Source organism: Homo sapiens, chromosome 19, assembly GCF_000001405.40.
Source record: "Homo sapiens chromosome 19, GRCh38.p14 Primary Assembly".
In the NCBI taxonomy this organism is placed as follows: domain Eukaryota; kingdom Metazoa; phylum Chordata; class Mammalia; order Primates; family Hominidae; genus Homo; species Homo sapiens.
The window spans coordinates 42919161-42938575 of record NC_000019.10 but is presented as its reverse complement, the minus strand read 5'-3'; the positions used below and the strand labels follow the sequence as shown (position 1 = coordinate 42938575).

At 46.1% G+C, this 19415-nt stretch overlaps 1 protein-coding gene across 2 annotated transcripts; it reads left to right on the top strand.

Annotated features, from left to right (window-relative positions):
* The first annotated feature begins 1368 nt into the window (after positions 1 to 1368).
* Positions 1369 to 14444, top strand: PSG7 (pregnancy specific beta-1-glycoprotein 7). Of its 2 annotated transcripts, NM_002783.3 has the most exons (6): positions 1369 to 1563; positions 2807 to 3172; positions 8856 to 9134; positions 11860 to 12138; positions 12549 to 12803; positions 13752 to 14444. In NM_002783.3, exons 1-6 carry the CDS (start codon positions 1500 to 1502, stop codon positions 13766 to 13768), a joined length of 1260 nt encoding a protein of 419 aa, NP_002774.2. In that variant the 5' UTR covers positions 1369 to 1499; the 3' UTR covers positions 13769 to 14444. The 2 variants fall into 2 exon arrangements, with proteins under 2 accessions (NP_002774.2, NP_001193579.1); NM_001206650.2 differs by lacking the exon at positions 2807 to 3172.
* Positions 14445 to 19415: the final 4971 nt, after the last annotated feature.

The following is a 19415-nucleotide window of genomic DNA, read 5'->3' as shown; positions in this document are numbered from 1 at the left end:
CCCCTGCTCCATCTGTCCTGTTCTCTGGGGCTTCGCAGGTGAAGCCTAGAGCTGACACAGATCAGCGGCTGCCTAAGGGCCCACAGCCTCCCCGGGAATCAGCCAGGCACCCTGTGACCTGCCTGCCCGCTGAACCCCTGGTGGCTTAGATCGTGTGTGATGGTCACACACAGGCACCATCTGGGATGTGGCCACCTACCCCCAGCTGTCCCTTGGGAAGACAGTCCTCTCCTGTGTGCTTGCGGGGAAAGGGGGGTGTTATTGCTCTTTGCACACAGAACACAACCCACCCCCACCCACCATCTCAGGCGTGAGCAACGTCCCTGCAGACAGGATCTCTGGCCACTGCCTGTTCCTCCTCTACACACAGCAGCTTGGCCAGGTCAAAACCCTCAGGACAGACCCCTGGGTATGTCGGCACATGGAGGGCTGAGCCCATCATGGCCACGGAGTAAGTCAGGATGAATCTCTCCAGCTCTGAACCCCTGCTCTGTCCCAGGCTCCCCCTCCTGTGTCTCAACGAGCCATGTCCCGCGGGTTTCCTGGGTAACTCTTCACTGCCACCTGCACCACCACAGGGAAGGTGTGGTGACCACAGGACAATCAGCTGGGCACATAAGAGAGGACATCAAAGATGGTCAGGAAGAACACGAGAAATCCTGAGCTCCAGCTCAGCCGCCAGACCCCAGGGAGCCAAAGAGTGACCGAGAACTCTCTCTTTGACTATGGGACTTACAGCCCCCACTGAGCAATCAGCACAGGCCTCTCCTCCCAAGAGGCATGAGAGATTCACCCTGCACACCTCTAGGAAGGACAGTTTCCTCTGGGACACCCAGGTCCTGAACGTCCATCCTTGGAAGCTGCAGCCAAGCTAGATACGATTAGAGAAAGGAAGGGTCCCTCTCACCAGGAAACACACAGTTCACACACAGCACAATGGGGCATCACTGTGACAGGGACCTGGTGCAGCTTCAGCCTCCTGCACTGCAGGGGAGAGCCAGATGGGGATGAAAGAGGCCAAAGGGCGTGAATGTGCACCCCTAACCAGAGCCATGCGGAGAGCAGGAGGCTGAGGCCCAGGACTGCGCTTGCCCAACCTGCAGGGTATGTGTGTGACTCTGTGGGTCTGTGTGTGTCTCTTCTGTGTGTGTGTGTGTGTGTGTATGTGTGTGTGTGTGTGTGTGTGTCTGCACAAAGTGTGTGTTGAGGTTTGGTGAAAGAATCACTGCTGAAAAAGGCAGAGGGCTCCACAATTCCCAGGGACCTGAAACACAGACAAAAGGAAAAACAGAAGGAGGGACAAGGAGGCAGAACTGAGAGAGGAGGGGACAGAGAGGTGTCCTGGGCCTGACCCCACCCATGAGCTTGAGAAGTGCTCCTGCCCCGGGAAGAGGCTCAGTGCAGAAGGAGGAAGGACAGCACAGCTGACAGCCGTGCTCAGGAAGATTCTGGATCCTAGGCTCATCTCCACAGAGGAGAACACGCAGGGAGCAGAGACCATGGGGCCCCTCTCAGCCCCTCCCTGCACACAGCATATAACCTGGAAAGGGCTCCTGCTCACAGGTGAGGAGAGAACTTCCTGGGAGAGGACAGGAAAAGGAAGCAGAGTGACTGGATGGGGTCTCCTAGAGAGGATGGGGTTCTAAAAAATAAAAGAAGCCAGCACTTTGGGAGGCTGAGGTGGGTGGATCAAGAGATCAGGAGTTCAAGATCAGTCTGGCCAACACAATGTAGCCCTGTCTGTACTAAAAATACAAAAAATTAACCAGGTATGGTGGTGTGCTCCTGTAATCCTAGCTACTCAGGAGGCTGAGGCAGGAGAATCACATGAACCCGGGAGGCAGAAGTTGCAGCTAGCCGAGATAGCACCACTGCATGCCAGCCTGGGTGACAGTATGAGACTCCGTCCCAAAAGAAAAAAAGGAAAAAAGAAAAAAAAGGAAAGAAGGCTCTGTTGGAGCCTGGATAGGGGAAAATACACCAGAGAGGGACAGGGGTCAAAATAGGAAAGTCACATTGAACCGGAATTGGTAAGAGGTAGGAAAATCTTAAGTGTTCTGTTTTTCTGATTAATCCTCAGGGGTCACCACATTTTGAAAAATGAAAATAATAACTATATCAGATGACACTTGAAATAAAAATATAAGCAGGGCATGAAACACTGTCCTCAGCAAAAAACCTCAACAATTGGGAGGAAAAAAAACACCCAGGGCATGGAGGCCCCTGAGAACTCTCACATCTACAGGAGTCTGCAGCCTGTTCCAGGCACTGGGGTGCGACCAAGATCACAAAAGTCCCTGTCCTCACGGAGCTCATGCTGTCATGGGGAGGAAGACAGACATGCAAAGAGATCTAGAATGTGAGATCAGGTGTTGACAAGAACCCTGGAGGGAGCAGAGCAGGGAAAGGTCAAAAAGGAAAGACCCAGGTTCTCTGAAGGAGGTGTCAGGAAAGAAGTCTAAGGATGCCCTGATGTGAGCAGAACCTGAGGGCAGTGTGGAGGGGGCCGTGCGGACCCCTGGGGAAGAGGATTCCAAACAGAAAAATGCCAAAGTCAGGAGTGTTGAAGGAATGGGGGTCATGCTGCTGACCTTGACCTAGTAGGACAGTAGGACACACACAGAAACACACATGCCCCTTTTATATGTGTGTGTGTGTGTTTGTGTGTGTGTGTGTGTGTGTGTGTGTGTGTGTGTGTGTGTCTTCAAGGCTGAGGATTGAAGAGACCTTCTCAGGACCCAGGGGCCCATCTTTTCAACCCAACACATAGGTCTCAATATTGACTGATGCTCTCTCCACCTCCTAGCATCACTTTTAAACTTCTGGAACCCGCCCACCACAGCCCAAGTCACGATTGAAGCCCAGCCACCAAAAGTTTCCGAGGGGAAGGATGTTCTTCTACTTGTCCACAATTTGCCCCAGAATCTTACTGGCTACATCTGGTACAAAGGACAAATCAGGGACCTCTACCATTATGTTACATCATATATAGTAGACGGTCAAATAATTAAATATGGGCCTGCATACAGTGGACGAGAAACAGTATATTCCAATGCATCCCTGCTGATCCAGAATGTCACCCAGGAAGACACAGGATCCTACACTTTACACATCATAAAGCGAGGTGATGGGACTGGAGGAGTAACTGGACGTTTCACCTTCACCTTATACCGTGAGTGATTCCACATGGTCCCTGGGTGTTGGGGGGCAGGGGTCATTTCTACTTCACACACACAGAATTGTCAGGCCTGGACTGTGCCTGTGTCCCTCTCTGCATTATGTCCCATGCTGGGGTTTGGGCATTTATTGCAGGAAACACACAGAGGAGACAAATTTCAACAGATCAGAATTCCTTTCTCACATCCAGACCCTGCAGAAACTTGCTGCAGAGGAAGGACAGTCTGATGGGGGGACTCAGCAGGAGGAGATCAGTCTCAGCCAAGCACCTCATGCCCTCTTCATAAATTTGACCCTGAGAAAGACCCTGGAAAACTGAGTAGGGCTTGGCCTGAGGGGCCCCCTGAGACCCTCAGAGAAGCTCAGCCCTAGAAGCCTCAACCCCAGACCCCTGTCCCTAAATCCTTGCTCCAGATAAAGCTGAGGAGCCTGTGCCAGGACTGGGTTATGGTTTCTTGGGCAGGGCTTACTGGGACTAAGAATTTTCCAGCTGTCTGAGGACTGTGTCTCCTGCAGCTGTTCACCAGCCAGGGCTCAGCCCTCAGAGCCTCATCTGGGCAAGGACAGAGCTTTCTTCACCTGACACTCAGAGTGGAGAGGACAGAAAGACAAGCTTTGTAGGCCATCAGCCAACTGCCTTAGGAGGCCTAGGACACTCCATAGAAAGTCTAATATCCCCAGAAGCAGAAACAGAAGAGAGAAGATGTACCAGGTAGCAGCTTGTCCACAGGGATCTGACGTAAAGGTGCTTTCTCATGGAAGCAAATTAATAATAAATGCTGTTTGGTGAACATTTCCACAGTGCTACGCATTAGGTCAGGTGACTGTGAATAATTTAACATTTATTCACAGATAGCATGAAAAGCCACAGTCCATTTGCCATTTAGCTTATTTGATTGAGAGAAAACTGAGTCACAGGAAAGCACAGTCACTGAGCCAGAGTCACACAAACACAAAGGGGAGATCAGGGTCACATGAGGTCTGTCTGCAGCCACAGGCCCATCCTCTCCTCCACCAGAAGTGAGGGCTTACTGGGTTCCAAGCACCCCATACTCATTTATTGGCTCAAATCCTCTCTTCTTAGGCATCCAAACCTCAGAGGAGTGAGAGCAAGTGGTCACCTGATTAGTCTGCACTCCAGAACTAAATCAGCTGCCTCAACCATCAGAGTCAGTGCAAAAAAAATGTCCAGGTCTCCCCCTCAGATCTTAACACCCATCATTGAACCTGAAATCCTGTGTTTCCCAAAGTTCCCATGTCACTGTCATGAGAGGATCAAGGAGAGGACCTTGTTTTCTTTCCCCACTCACACCCTGCACCAGCACAGGCCCAGCCAGAGACACATACTCAGGAGCTCTCACATAACAAATAAAGGAATTGAATGCAGAAATGACTGATCCAAAACCTCTTTAGAGACTGGATCTTGGATGCAGAATCCCAGGAGTTTCTAGCCACACCTGTCCCTTGTCCTTCGGAGGCTGACACCCATGTTTCATCACCCCACTACCTCTTGCCCCTAAAGCCACCCCACCTCATGTAACTCTGAAGCTCTTTGGCCACGGAGGGTTCTCAGGGCTCCTTGGTCCTGGACTGTGGAAATGGGGGCACCTTGTCCCTGGGGTCACTGAAGTCAGTGTAGCCCTCACTGCTCACTGCCATGGTGTCTCTGCCTCTCTCTGCTTCTCTGTGTCCCTCATCTTCCTCCCACTTCATTCTGACTGGCAAGCCCTGTCCTGCACAGCTTCTTCCTCCACTGCTAGGCCTTCCGCAGACACTCCCTCTAACTAGGCTGACTGTTCTGTTCCCTTCCCGCTAACACTGTGGCCTGGCCCACCTCCCAGGAAATAGGAAAGGTGCAGAAATCACCTGGAGTTGCCACTCCTGCCAGGCTTCATCTCGAGCCAATGACCCCAGGTCACTAAGAGAATGAGCTTCCACTGTATTTCCATCCAGGGCTCTTTCACTTTGTGAGGCTGACCTGTGGACAAGACCATGGGACAGGGATAGGCAGTTCCTCCATCCACTCTTATAATTGCCAGACAAGTTCTTCTGGCCTCCTGCACACATACATACACCAAAAAAAAAAAAAAATATATATATATATATATATATATATATATATATATATATATTGAAATGGTGATTTGTAGTAAAGAATGATTTTAATGACTCCAAGTCTGCCAAACAGGAGGACAGAGGTTTATTATTACTCAAATCAGCCTCCCCAGTGGATCAGGGGTTAGAGATTTTCAAGGATAGTTTCAGGGGCACAGGACTAAAAAATGAGTACTGCTGATTGTTTGGTGATGGAATCATGTGGGCAGAGGGAAATGATCTGTTAGTGCTTGAATCTGCCTCTAGGTAGGGACCACATGACTGGCTGAGCCATTAGTCATAGGTATAGATGAGGTCAGCCGGTTGCCAGAATGCAAAAGAATGAGAAACATCTCAAAAGACCAATCTCACGTTCTACAATAGTGATGTTATCTATAGGAGCAATTAGTTACAAATTTTGTAAACTCTTGCCAAATGACACTGGAGCAGTCAGGGATTATAGAAACTGTGCCAACATTTTAGCAGAATTCAGTTCCCTCTTATAATCTAAATCTCATGGTCTTTCACTAGTTTTACCAAGGCAGTCCCTGGGCAAAGTAAGGGTGTTAGTTTTATGGAGGAACTATCATCATTCTTGCTTCAAAGTTAAACCATAAACCAAATTCTTCCCAAGGATAGCCTGGCCTATGTCCAGGAATGAGTGAGGACAGCCAGCCTGAGACTAGATGCCAGATGGAGTCAGCCACGCTAGTTTGCTGTCACTGTTGTAATCTTTGCACGGACTCATCAGGGTGTCAGAGGCTGGAAGGGCCTGCAGTTCCCAAAGCCCATGGGCTCATTTCACCCATTTCACTCGTGACTCCATTCTCAACCTGCTATGGAGCTCACATTCTTTTGTCACTTCCTAGAGACTTCTGGCTTTCTGTCAGGCATATAACAAGCTTGGAATTTGTCACTCGGTTCTAACACTAAGTAAAACGCTGAACAAACTCAAAAGTCAACAACTCGTTAAAATCCCTCAGAGATGGCTGGGCACAGTGGCTCACACCTATACTCCCAGGACTTTGGGAGGCCGAGGCAGGCACAAGGTCAGGAGATACAGACCATCCTGGCTAACATGGTGAAACCCCGTCTCTACTAAAAATACAAAAAATTAGTGGGACGTGGTGGTGGGCACCTGTAGTCCCAGCTACTCGGGAGGCTGAGGCAGGAGAATGGAGTGAAACCGGGAGGCGGAGCTTGCAGTGAGCTGAGATCATGCCACTGCACTCCAGCCTGGGTGACAAAGAGAGACTCTGTCTCAGAAAAAAAAAATGCTGTTTGAGAAATGAAGAATGCTTTTGATGCTTACTGGTAGACTGCACACAGCTGTGGAAAGAATACCTAGCTTGAGAATGTGTCAATAGAAACTTCCAAAACTGAAACAGGAAAGTTCAAAAAGAGTGGGGGAAAAAAAGTGGAACAACATTTCAACTTCATATTTAGTATTTTGTTTTGACAATAGCAATTTTTAAATTTTGTAGTTGTGGGACAACTACAAAGGCTGTAACATACCCTTAATGGGAATACAGGTGGTTTGGGGACCAGATCGAGGTGGCCAGGTAGGTGCTATCTCATGGTTTTACTGCCTGTGCCACATACAACTGTTTCCTCATGATGATGCCGTTTTCATAAGTTGGAGTTCTTCGTGTGGGGAGACACACGAGCCATTGCCATCTCACTTAGCCTCTTACTAATTCACACAAACTTAAACTCTAGTGGTGTTTCCTGAGCTTAAGAGAAAATGAAGAAAGCATTTCACATACCTGTTTTGGGGTCCTCCGCATTTTTCCTAACTCTGCCCAGAAATTATAAGCAGGCAGTTCTTTCTATATTTACTAACATAACACTCATCACTTCTTTTAATTTGGCATCCTTCCTCTCTTTATGTAATTGATGCACTGACCAGTTCTGTCCTTTTAACGGGACTCTCTCTACTTAAGGAGCTGCTAATTCAAATCACCTTTGGCATCTTTCTTTGAGCATAATGTGATCCTGCTGGAATTCACGGCACACCTAAACCTCATTTTCGTCTCAAGAGAAATACTACTACCAGCAATTGATCTTAGATGTTTGGACCATCAGTAAAAATTTCCACTAATGAAAACATTTTAATGTTTCCTCCAAATTTTTCTTTTGTTATTAGAGTCAGAACATAACCTGAGGTCTAAACTCCTGACAACATTTTATGGGAAAATTACAGTATTACGAATTGAGCATCCCAAATCCAGAAATCCACAATCTGAAATGCTCAAAACTCAACCCTTCTGACCACTGATGTGATGCTAAAAAGAAGTGCTCACTGGCGCATTGTGGATTTTAAATTTTTCAGATTTGGGATGCTAAACCAGTACATGTACTGCAAATATTCCAAAATAAAAAAATTAGAAATTGAAAACACTTTGTTTTAACCTTTCTGCATAAGGAGCACTTTATCTGTATGAACTATAGGCATGAGGCTGTACAGGAGATCTCTAGAACCCCCTCATCCTGCATAACTGAAACCACACACCCACGGAACAGTGCCCTATTCCCCTAATCCCAGCTCCTGGAAACTACTATTCTACTCTCTGATTCACTCTGGAATCCACTGATATGAGGTACATAGAGTAGTCAAACTCAGAATCAGAGGGTAGAATGTCTAATGAGAGAAAGTATCTGCAAGACTTCTTCCCAAATATTGGTCTAATATCCACCAAACACATATGGTCCATGAGGACCAGACTTCCATCATCAGTTCATGTTCACCCTTTCCACCAGTCAGTTCTGTATTTGCAAACATCAACATGTATTTCTAGAAAGATCCACATGGTCCTCACCTGCCCTCTACAGGGGAAAGGGAGCATCATGGACCCAGAACAGGGAACATGGTCTTGGGCCAAACCTATCAGCTCTTGCCTGTCCCCTTCACTCTTTGTAGGTCATTCCTTGGACTCTGCTCTATCTTTAGAGGTCACTGGCTCAAGTCAGTCACTATGAGACACCTGGGAAAACTGCGCCACCTTGTGGCTGCACTGCCTGATGACTGAACTGACCTCCAGGCTTGACTCTGGTCTCCCCTGTGTTATTTCTGCTGAAGTACCCAGTCCCAGGCCAGGCTTTCCAGTACCCAAAGGGTTTAAGGACAATGGGAAGTTCCATCATCCATCTCTAGGATGTCCTTGGAAAGGGAAGCTGAAGAGAAAACATACCACAGGGGGCAAAGTAAGATTGAAACTAAGAAGATTCCAGCACTGAATGCTCCAAGTGAGGACCACAAGGTGGGCCAGGCAGGCAGTTGGAGATGGAGGGACTCAGAGAGGCACCAGAAGCTGTGACTGCTGGTCCTGTGTCTTTCCATGACCCAATGCTGCTGCTCAATTCACACTTGAGAAAGTCCATGCTTCTCCCACATAAAGCAGGCAGCCTCACAATCTCTGAGCCCTCAGATTGCCATGCATCTGTCTTGTAACACACACACCTGCCATGGGCTTTTAAGGACTTGGGTGGGCTGAGAGGTTGGAAATGCCAACTCTGATTGAAAAATGCCTTTGGAGGAGTCAAAGGTGCCACACAGGGCAATCTTCTCTCTGTTTTCCGCACAGTGGAGACTCCCAAACCCTCCATCTCCAGCAGCAATTTCAACCCCAGGGAGGCCACGGAGGCTGTGATTTTAACCTGTGATCCTGAGACTCCAGATGCAAGCTACCTGTGGTGGATGAATGGTCAGAGCCTCCCTATGACTCACAGCTTGCAGCTGTCTGAAACCAACAGGACCCTCTACCTATTTGGTGTCACAAACTATACTGCAGGACCCTATGAATGTGAAATACGGAACCCAGTGAGTGCCAGCCGCAGTGACCCAGTCACCCTGAATCTCCTCCGTGAGTATCTTCTGTTCCTCTGTTAGCCAGGCTGCCATCCCAAATACACATGGCCAGAGGCCGGGCTTCTCAGTCCCTCTCAGGTCCAAGTATGTAGACCTTTACCCCTGGACATCAAAGCTGGTGGTGACTTCCTGCCCCAGGCAAACCAGAGTAGGCCTAGGCTTGATCCACAATAAGAGAAAAGAGGCTGCTCCTGTCATGGGAGACTCAGGGTCCACAGCTTGTGATGGAAGAAACAGGTGAATGTCTCAGGCTCCAGATCATGAACACAGCGGGGATTTGGCTGGGACTTCAGTGTTGCGACTTGACTCACAGGGTCACTGTGGCCCTTCCACAGACCAGGATTTTACCTTCCCTCTGACAATATCACCTGTGACATTATTCTCTTTGCTCCACATGGCCTGGATGCCCCCACCATTTTTTCCTCATACACCTATTACCATACAAGAGAAGTCCCCAAGCTCCCCTGCCTCACAGATTCTCATCCACTGGCCGAGCATTCTTGGCTGATTGATGGGAAGTTCCAGCAATCAGTACAAGTGTTCTTTATACCCCAATTCACTAAAACATATAGAGGGGTCTATGTCTCTTTCATCCATAACTCAGCCACTGGTGGAACAAATCTCATAATCAAGAGGATCATAGTCCCTGGTAAGTGGATCCCTGGAGCATTGGCAATATGTTTTCCAGGGAAGTCTATCTGGCTATCAGGGAAGAGCCACCTGCCCTCTGCAGAGGGAGAGGGAAAATCAAAACTCAGGAAAGGGAATATATTTCTGCTCCAAAACCACCAGGTTTTGCCTGTACCCTTCACTCTTTCTAGATCATTCTTCAGACTATACACTAACAATGAACAATCTGAAAAGAAATTAAGAAAATAATTTCAATTCACATTAACATCAAAAGGAATAAAATATTTTGGAATAAGTTTAACCAAAAAGGTCAAATGATTATACCCTGAAAACTACAAACCTTCCTGAAACAAATTAAAGATGATATCAATATATGGAAACACATTTCATTTTCATGGATTGGAAGAATCAATATTGTTAGAAAGAAAATACTACGCAAAGTGAGTTGCAGATTCAATGCAACCCCTACCAGCATCCCAGTAACATTTTTTGCAGAATTAGAAAACTCTGTCCTAAATCTGAGCTGACAGGCTCTTCTTAATGACTGCCACAACAAAAACACTGAGAAAAAGATGCAACCATGAAAAGGTGGAAAGTTCTCATGACATAGAAAATAGCAATCAGCCTTTCTCACATGCCAAGGCATTCAAAAATATACAAGTGCAGCATGGCCAGTATGGAATTCACCGAAAACTAATCACCAAGCTAGAAACGTGGTGAGAGAAAAAAAAGGGCAAGAATATCTTTGGCTTATCACCTCCCACTTATGCCTACTAATCTGATGCTGAAAAGAAATGCTCACTGAAGCATCTTAGACTTTGAATCTATCAGATTTGGGATGCTTAACCAGTAAGTATATGACAAATATTTCAGAATCAAAAAATGAAAGAAATGCAAAACACTTTTTGTCCTAAGTTGTAGGCATAAGAAATACTCCATCTTTGTGAACTATAGGCATCAAGCTCTACAGCAGATCTCTAGAAACTCCCCATCTTGCATAAAAGAAACTGCCCACCCATGAACAACTTCTGATTCTCCCCACTCCCAGCTCCTGGCAACCAGCAGTCTCTTCTCATATTCACTCTGGAATCCACTTACATGAGGTCCCTAGAGTAGTCAACCCCAAGGAATCAGAGAGTAGAATGTCCAGTGAAAGAAAATATTTGCAAAACTTCTCTCCAAATTTGTCTTATATCCATCAAACACACATGGTCCATGAGGACCAGATTTCCAGCAGTTCATTCCCACACTTTCCACCAGTCAGTTCTGCATTTGCAAATGTCCACATGTATTTCTGGAAAGATCCACATGGTCCTCACCTGCCCTCTGCAGAAGGAGAGGAAACTTAAAGAACCCAGGACAGGGAACATGCTTCTGCTCCAAAACCACCAGCTCTTGCTTGTCCCCTTCACTCTTTCTAGATCATTCCTTGCACTCTGCTCTATCTTTAGAGGTCACTGGTTCAAGTAAGTCATCATGAAACACCTGCAAAAAACTGCCCCACCTTGAGCCTCCACTGCCTGATGACTGAACTGACCTCCAGGCTTGACTATGGTCTCCCCTGTGTTATTTCTGCTGAAACATCCAGTCCCAGGCCAGGCTGCTCAGTATCTGCAGGGTTTCAGGACAATGGGAAGTCCCATTATTACTCATCTCTAGAATGTCCTTGGAAATGGAAGTTGCAGAGAAATCACATCTAGGGGGGCAAAGTAGGATGCAATTTGGAAAGGGCCCAGCAGTTGCACATTCCAGGTAATGAACCCAGGGTGAGCCAGCCAGTCAACTCATTAGTGAGGGACTGGGAGGGGTACCAGGCGCTGTGACTCCCACTGACATGTCTGTCCATGACCCAGCACTGCTGCTCAATTGACACTTGAGAAAGTCTATGCTTCCCTAAGACTGAGCAGGTGGCCTCACAGTCTTTGAGCCCTTAGATCATCATGCATCTACCTTGTGACACACACACCAGCTATTGGCTTTCAAGGACTCACACGTGTTGACAGGTGGGAGATGCCAACTCTAATTGAAGGATGCCTGTGGAGGAATCAAAGGTGCCACACAGGACAATCTTCTCTCTGTTATTCACACAGCGAAGCTGCCCAAGCCCTACATCACCATCAATAACTTAAACCCCAGGGAGAATAAGGATGTCTCAACCTTCACCTGTGAACCTAAGAGTGAGAACTACACCTACATTTGGTGGCTAAATGGTCAGAGCCTCCCGGTCAGTCCCAGGGTAAAGCGACGCATTGAAAACAGGATCCTCATTCTACCCAGTGTCACGAGAAATGAAACAGGACCCTATCAATGTGAAATACGGGACCGATATGGTGGCATCCGCAGTGACCCAGTCACCCTGAATGTCCTCTGTGAGTATCCTTGAGTATCCTTTCTTCCTCTGTGGGCCAGGACACCAGCTTAACTCCAAACGACCAGAGGCCAGTCCTCTCAGTCTCTCTCCGGTCCAAGTATAGACATATTTACTTCTGGACATCCGAGCTGGCCATGACTCCCTGCCCTGGGAAAACCTGGGTAGGCACAGCCTTAACCAAGAATATAAGGGGAGTGGACGCTCTTGTCATGGGAGACTTGGGGCCCACAGCTTGTGATGGGAGAAACAGGTGAATACCTCAGGCTTCGGCTCAGTGAACATAGAGGGGATTTGGCTGTCACTTGAGGGTGTGTCTCGGCTCAGAGGGTCACTCTGTCCCTTTAAGAGACCAGGAGCATCCCCTTCCCTCGGATAACATCACCTGTGGCTTTATTCTCTTTCCTCCAGATGGTCCAGACCTCCCCAGAATTTACCCTTCATTCACCTATTACCATTCAGGACAAAACCTCTACTTGTCCTGCTTTGCGGACTCTAACCCACCGGCACAGTATTCTTGGACAATTAATGGGAAGTTTCAGCTATCAGGACAAAAGCTTTCTATCCCCCAGATTACTACAAAGCATAGCGGGCTCTATGCTTGCTCTGTTCGTAACTCAGCCACTGGCAAGGAAAGCTCCAAATCCGTGACAGTCAGAGTCTCTGGTAAGTGGATCCCAGCATCCTTGGCAATAGGGTTTTAGGTGCAGTCTATCTGACTTTCAGAGAAAAGTCAGGAAAACATTTGTATTCCCAGCCTGTGTCCCATGGGCACAAGCAAATCCCAAATTTTCCTCCTGAACCCTCCAAATTTGTCTAAGAACTTCGAAAACTTTAACAAACAGGCTGATATCTTCATAACATTCCCAGCCTAGACCAAGCAGGAAAAACATTGATTTCATTGAAATAATTGATAATAATGAGGATAATGTTTTTATGATTTTTATTTGAAAATATGCTGATTCTTTATGTGGATAGTTTTCTAGATTTATGGAAATTTGTCTTTTAATCTATCTCTAGCTTATAGTGGTTCAATAAACTATACTTCTGGGAATGATAATTGAAATATTTACTTTTGCTCTCTACCTGAATGCCCCAGAATTGGGCAACTATTCATGAGTATTGATATGTTTATGGTAATACAGATATTTGCACAAACAGAGTAACAACCTGCTCTCTTTGTAACAGGACACATTTCAAATCATTGGTTATATTACCAAGGCTTTGACTGGGATGTTATATTTAAGAATATAGCTAGAATGAACCAGTATGAACTGCAGGCAAACTCTGAAGTCAGCCTTGGTTTGGCTTCCTATTCTCAAGAGTTTTGTAAAGGTTTAATCTGAGATTCCTTATAAAAACTTACAGCAAAGAAAATTTTAAAAGAGAGCCTACATAGTCCATTGCTACTCTTGCTGCACTTATGTAAACAATCAGACCAAGTTTGAAGAAACTCAACCTATTTTGCAAACAAACTTATTCTACTGAAATTATCATTGGTAAAACTAGAGATGCCCATAGAGAGAAAAATTATGTGGAAAATAAAACCGTAGTACACCTGTTATGAGATTGCAGCTCTGTTCATTGTTTCTGTGTTTTTATTATCCACTGTAGACTGGACATTACCCTGAATTCTACTAGTTCCTCCAATTCCATCTTCTCCCATGGAACCTCAAAGAGCAAGACCCACTCTGTTCCAGAAGCCCTATAAGTCAGAGTTGGACAACTCAATGTAAATTTCATGGGAAAATCCTTGTACCTGATGTCTGAGCCACTCAGAACTCACCAAAATGTTCAACACCATAACAACAGCTGCTCAAACTGTAAACAAGGAAAACAAGTTGATGACTTCACACTGTGGACAGCTTTTCCCAAGATGTCAGAATAAGACTCCCCATCATGATGAGGCTCTCACCCCTCTTAGCTGTCCTTGCTTGTGCCTGCCTCTTTCACTTGGCAGGATAATGCAGTCATTAGAATTTCACATGTAGTATAGGAGCTTCTGAGGGTAACAACAGAGTGTCAGATATGTCATCTCAACCTCAGACTTTTACATAACATCTCAGGAGGAAATGTGGCTCTCTCCATCTTGCATACAGGGCTCCCAATAGAAATGAACACAGAGATATTGCCTGTGTGTTTGCAGAGAAGATGGTTTCTATAAAGAGTAGGAAAGCTGAAATTATAGTAGACTCCCCTTTAAATGCACATTGTGTGGATGGCTCTCACCATTTCCTAAGAGATACATTGTAAAACGTGACAGTAAGACTGATTCTAGCAGAATAAAACATGTACTACATTTGCTAATACTGTTCTCTTAAAACAATTTTAAAAGAATGGGGTGGGCCCTCCCATGTGTCCAGGCCTGGTCTCTGAACAGAATCCTCCATCTGCAGTAACAATGCCTCAGAAGATGACATGGACTTGGTCCTGATATGCAGCCATTCCTGTATACCCTTCCCCTGCTTCAGGGTCGTACAAGCCCAGGGCCCAAATCTTCAGCTGCAGAGCTGAGAGAGAACATGGGATACCCAGCATCCCTTACCTTCTTCCAGTCCACTGCAGTGGCTACTGGCATGGCCCATGTACCCCTGAGGACACCCATCTGCTGACACACAGTTTCTAAGAGTCAGACATTCCTGGCTTCTATGAACCCCAGCTACTTTCACTCTGCTGAAACCTTCTACTCCGTACAGGAGTCATTGACTTAACAGACTCCTCTTTCAGTTGCAGCTAATAGGTAAGCCAAGACCCAGACCCCAGAGGATAAACAAGGATTTCAAAACCTACTGTGTCCAATGGAGATGCCCACTTGTGGGCGGCAAGCCACCCAGGTGCTGAGGCAAGAGACTCAGGGCATGAGCTGTTCCAGTATCATAAAATATAAAAGAAGAATAGTTATACCAGGTACAGATCTTAGATATGATTATATATGAATATCATTAATTGTTAGTTGGTAGCAATTACTCTTTATTCCAATATTATAATAATCCTCGCTTTATAATCATAACCTAGGAAAGGCCAGGCCATACAGAGATAGGAGCTGAGGAGACATAGTGAGAAGTGACCAGAAGACAAGAGTGCAAGGCTTCTGTTATGCCCAGACAGGGCCACTAGAGGGCTCCTCGGCCTAGCGGTAACACCAGCGTCTGGGAAGACACCCTTTGCCAAGTGGACCGTGGTCTAGTGGTAGCCTCAGTGTCAAGGAAAAACACCCACTACTTAGCCGACCGGAAAGGGAGTCTCCCTTTCCCCGGCGGAGTTTAGAGAAGACTCTACTCCTCCACCTCTTGTGGAGGGCCTGACATTAGTCAGGTCCACCCACAGTTATCCAGAGGCCTAACCGTCTCCCTGTGATGCTGTGCTTCAGTGGTCACACTCTTAGTCCGCCCTCATGTTCCATACTGTACACGTGGTTCTGCCATTTAGTTAGCAGTAGCAAATTAGTGAAAGTACTAAAAGTCTCTAATAAGCAGAAATAATGCTGTAAGCTCTCTCTCTCATTCTCCTCCCTCTCTCTGCCTCACCTGCCAGGCAGGGAAGGGCCCCCTGTCCAGTGGACATGTGACACAGGTGGCATTTCCTATCATTGAAGATGGCACACATTCCTTATCCTGCCCCTTTGTCTTCTATCCAATAAATATCAGTGCAGCCTGGCATTCAGGGCCACTACCGGTCTCCGCATCTTGGTGGTAGTGGTCCCCCAGGCCCAGTTGTCTTTTCTTTTATCTCTTAGTCTTGTGTCTTTATTTCCACAATCTCTCATCTCCACACACAGGGAGAAAAACCCAACGACCCTGTGGGGCTGCTCCCTACACCCACTGTACAGAGACATAAAGAAGTTGAGATGTATACAACTCCCCCAACAACACTGTATCCCAAAACAATGTCCTCTCTGCCCCTCATCGTGGAATTCACTGTCTCTCACCACATGGGCAAGTGCTTCCAGGGTCTCATAATTCTTCCACAAGAGGCAATGCACACTTTAACATAGCACTTCAGCAAATAAAGTGGTGACAGTTTACCTACTTAGATAAAGTTTCTTAAAAGCTTCTCCCAAATTTCCCCCTGAAGAAGAGAGAAAAGGCTTTCCCAATTGTGAAACATTGGCCTCCCCACCTTTCAAAAAAGTACCCCTGAGTAGCTAAAACAATCTTGCCAAAATAAATTGTAGGACTTGAACTTTCTTATTTGAAATCTCACAAAAGAGTACAATTATTAAAATGGAAGCTGCTGCCAAAGAATAGACATAAGCTGCTGGCAAAAGAATAGACATAAAGACAAATGGGATAGAATTAAGAATCTAGAAATAAACCCTCAAACTTATGGTCAATTACTCCTTGAAGAGGGTGTCAAGACAATTTAATGGATGAACAATTCTCCTTTCAAATCATAGTACAGAAACAACTAGATAACCACATGCAAAACAGTGAATTTAGATAACTCTGCCTCCCACCATATCAAACAATTCTCTAAAAAATTGATGAGTGAGTAAAATATAAGACCTATAACCATAAAAACATCTTAAACTAGACATAGAGGTAAATATTGATGAACTCAAATGTGTAATGGATTCTTAGATATGATACAAAAGCATGAGAAACAAGAAAAACAAGATATGTTGGGCTTTATCAAGATGTGAGCCTTTTGTACATCAAAGGAAATTATCAAGAAAATAATTAATAGAAAAGAATGAAAGAAAATATTTGCAAACCACATATAGGCAGTTTTCATATCCAGTTAATATAAAGAACTAGCTAAAACTCAATAACAAAAGGACAAACCATCCAATTTATAAATGGGCAAAAGACTCATATAGACATTTCTTCAAAGAAGATATACAAATAGTCAAGAAGGACATGAAAAGATACTCAACATCTATAGTCATTAGGAAAATACAAAGTCAAAGCTGCAATGAGACACCACATCACACCTACAAAACTGGCTACCATTCTTTTAAAATGTTAAACAACAAGTAGCAGCATTATGTAGAATTTGGAATCCTCATACATGGCTGGTGAGAATATGAAAAGGTACAGCCACTTGGAGAAAGAGTTTTGCTGTTCCTCAAAAAGCTAATCATAGAATTCTCATTTGAAACAACAGGCATTCCTAGGTACATACCCAAAGAATTAAATCCAGGGCCTCAAACAGGTACTTGCATGGGAATGTTCATTGCAGCATTATTCACAAAAGATAAAATATGAAAATAATCCAAGTGTTCATCAACACATGAATAAACAAATATGGTGACACATACAACAGATTGTTAACCTGCCATAAAGAGGAATGAAGCTCTGACACCCACTGGAACATGCATGGACTTGGGAAACATTATGCTAAGTGAAATATGTCAGAAACAAAATAACATAATTGTATAATTCCATTTATATGAAACATCAAGAATAGGCAAATTCATAGAGAGAGAGTGGAGATGATCAAGGTCTAGGGTGGAACATACAGGGAGGTATTGTTTAAAAGTGACAAAGTTTCAGTTTAAAATGATAAAAATTTTCTAGGAAAAATAGTGGTGATGGTAATTTAACATGGTGTATGTGGTTAATTTCACTTGATTGTGCATTTTAAAGTGGTTAAAATAGCACATTATTCACAGAACTGTGAAAAATAGATTTCTATTATTTAATTCACCCAGGCTAAGGTTATGTTATGGCAGGTGAAGCCCATGAATACATCACCTGACCCAGTGTTCCAATGAAAGGCATCAGGTTTTCAATCAAGTTAGCTGGAAGCTCCTGTCCCCAGGAGAACCAGAGGCCCCAAAACAAGAGCTCCAGCAGAAGCTCAACCAGCACAAGTCCCATAGGGCAGCCTCAATGTCAGGCCCTGGATGGCATGTGAGGCTATAATGATATAACAAGAACGTGAAAATATAAGTATTTTTACTACTTACAGACACTAGGGAGCACTCAGCACACCTGGAGGCCACAGACACAGAGGTCAGTGAGCCCAGGCAGGGAGGAGAGAAGAGACCGGTAAGCCAATGCCTTTATTAAGTCCAGGGTGTTATCTGACAGGTTTCCAGCAGGGAGCTTTAATGGATGTGTTCAAAGCAAGCAGCAAACACTGGGACCAGGAGCTCAAGCTGTGACTGAGAGGTGGTCACTTTAAATGTGAGGGCAAATGTCAGAATTATCAGTTTAAAGAAAGCAGCTGGAGAGAGGTGAGCCCAGCACACCAAGCAGGAGAGATACCTCTAAGATTTTATCTCTGGCCACCAACTGGAGCCACTTGAACCAGATACAGTATTGAAAACTGCCATGGTGACCAAGCCCTGCCTCTGATTTGAGGCAAATAAACTTACACCTTAAAAAATGAATGCCAAGGCAACATGACACTATGAGCATCATGACATCCAGGGACACAAGCAGGGTGTGGTACTGTGCCCTGGAGTCAGAATCCTGGGATTGGTCCCTGGGAGTGAGAAAATGAAAATGACTTGTCCCTGCCCCTCTGACATTGATCTTCCCACGCTGCTGCTCCCTCTTCTGCTCCCAAGCCCACGTGCACTGCTCAGCCCCAGACATCACTGCTCCCAGGGTATACACAGTGCCACCTACTGCACACAAACACAAACTCACAAAGGTGACAAAAATCTGCCTTTGGGACATCTGACTGTGAAAGAGGGAGAACAGTGAACGTACAGCCACAAAGACTGGGTCTCACGGGGCTGGAAGGTGAAGGAGCTGTAACATAACATACGTGTTACCTCGTGTGAAGTGTGCAGATCCACGTGGAATAAAACATGCAGCCTGGCCTGGGATTGCTGCCGTTCACACTTCCCTCCCTGTCCACCAGAGGGTGACCGAGTCCCTCCCAGCCTGGAGCCTTCCCAGGGGAAGCCAACCTCCCTCAGCGGAACCCACAGCCCAGCAGTGTCCACCCTCACCAGGGTCACTTCGGCCTAAGTCCTCAGCGCCCTCCATGCTCCCCACACGGACTCTGTCAGCTCCTCCCTGACCTGGGGGCCACCAACCTAACACCACGCCCTCTGCAGGTAGCTCCTGCCCCACACACCTGCTCCTTCCCTGGGCCCAGCTAAAGGCATCTCCCAGGGCAGCGCTGGTGCACGCGATGCCACACTGGGCGCTTTCCCCTCGTGACCTCCCTCCATCCTCATCAACTCTTTCTGTCACCGCTCCCTAAATGCCCGCCCCTGCTCCATCTGTCCTGTTCCCTGGGGCATCCCAGGCCAAGCTTAGCGCTGACACAGAATAGCGGCTGCCTGAGGGCCCACAGCCTCACCGGGAATCAGCCAGG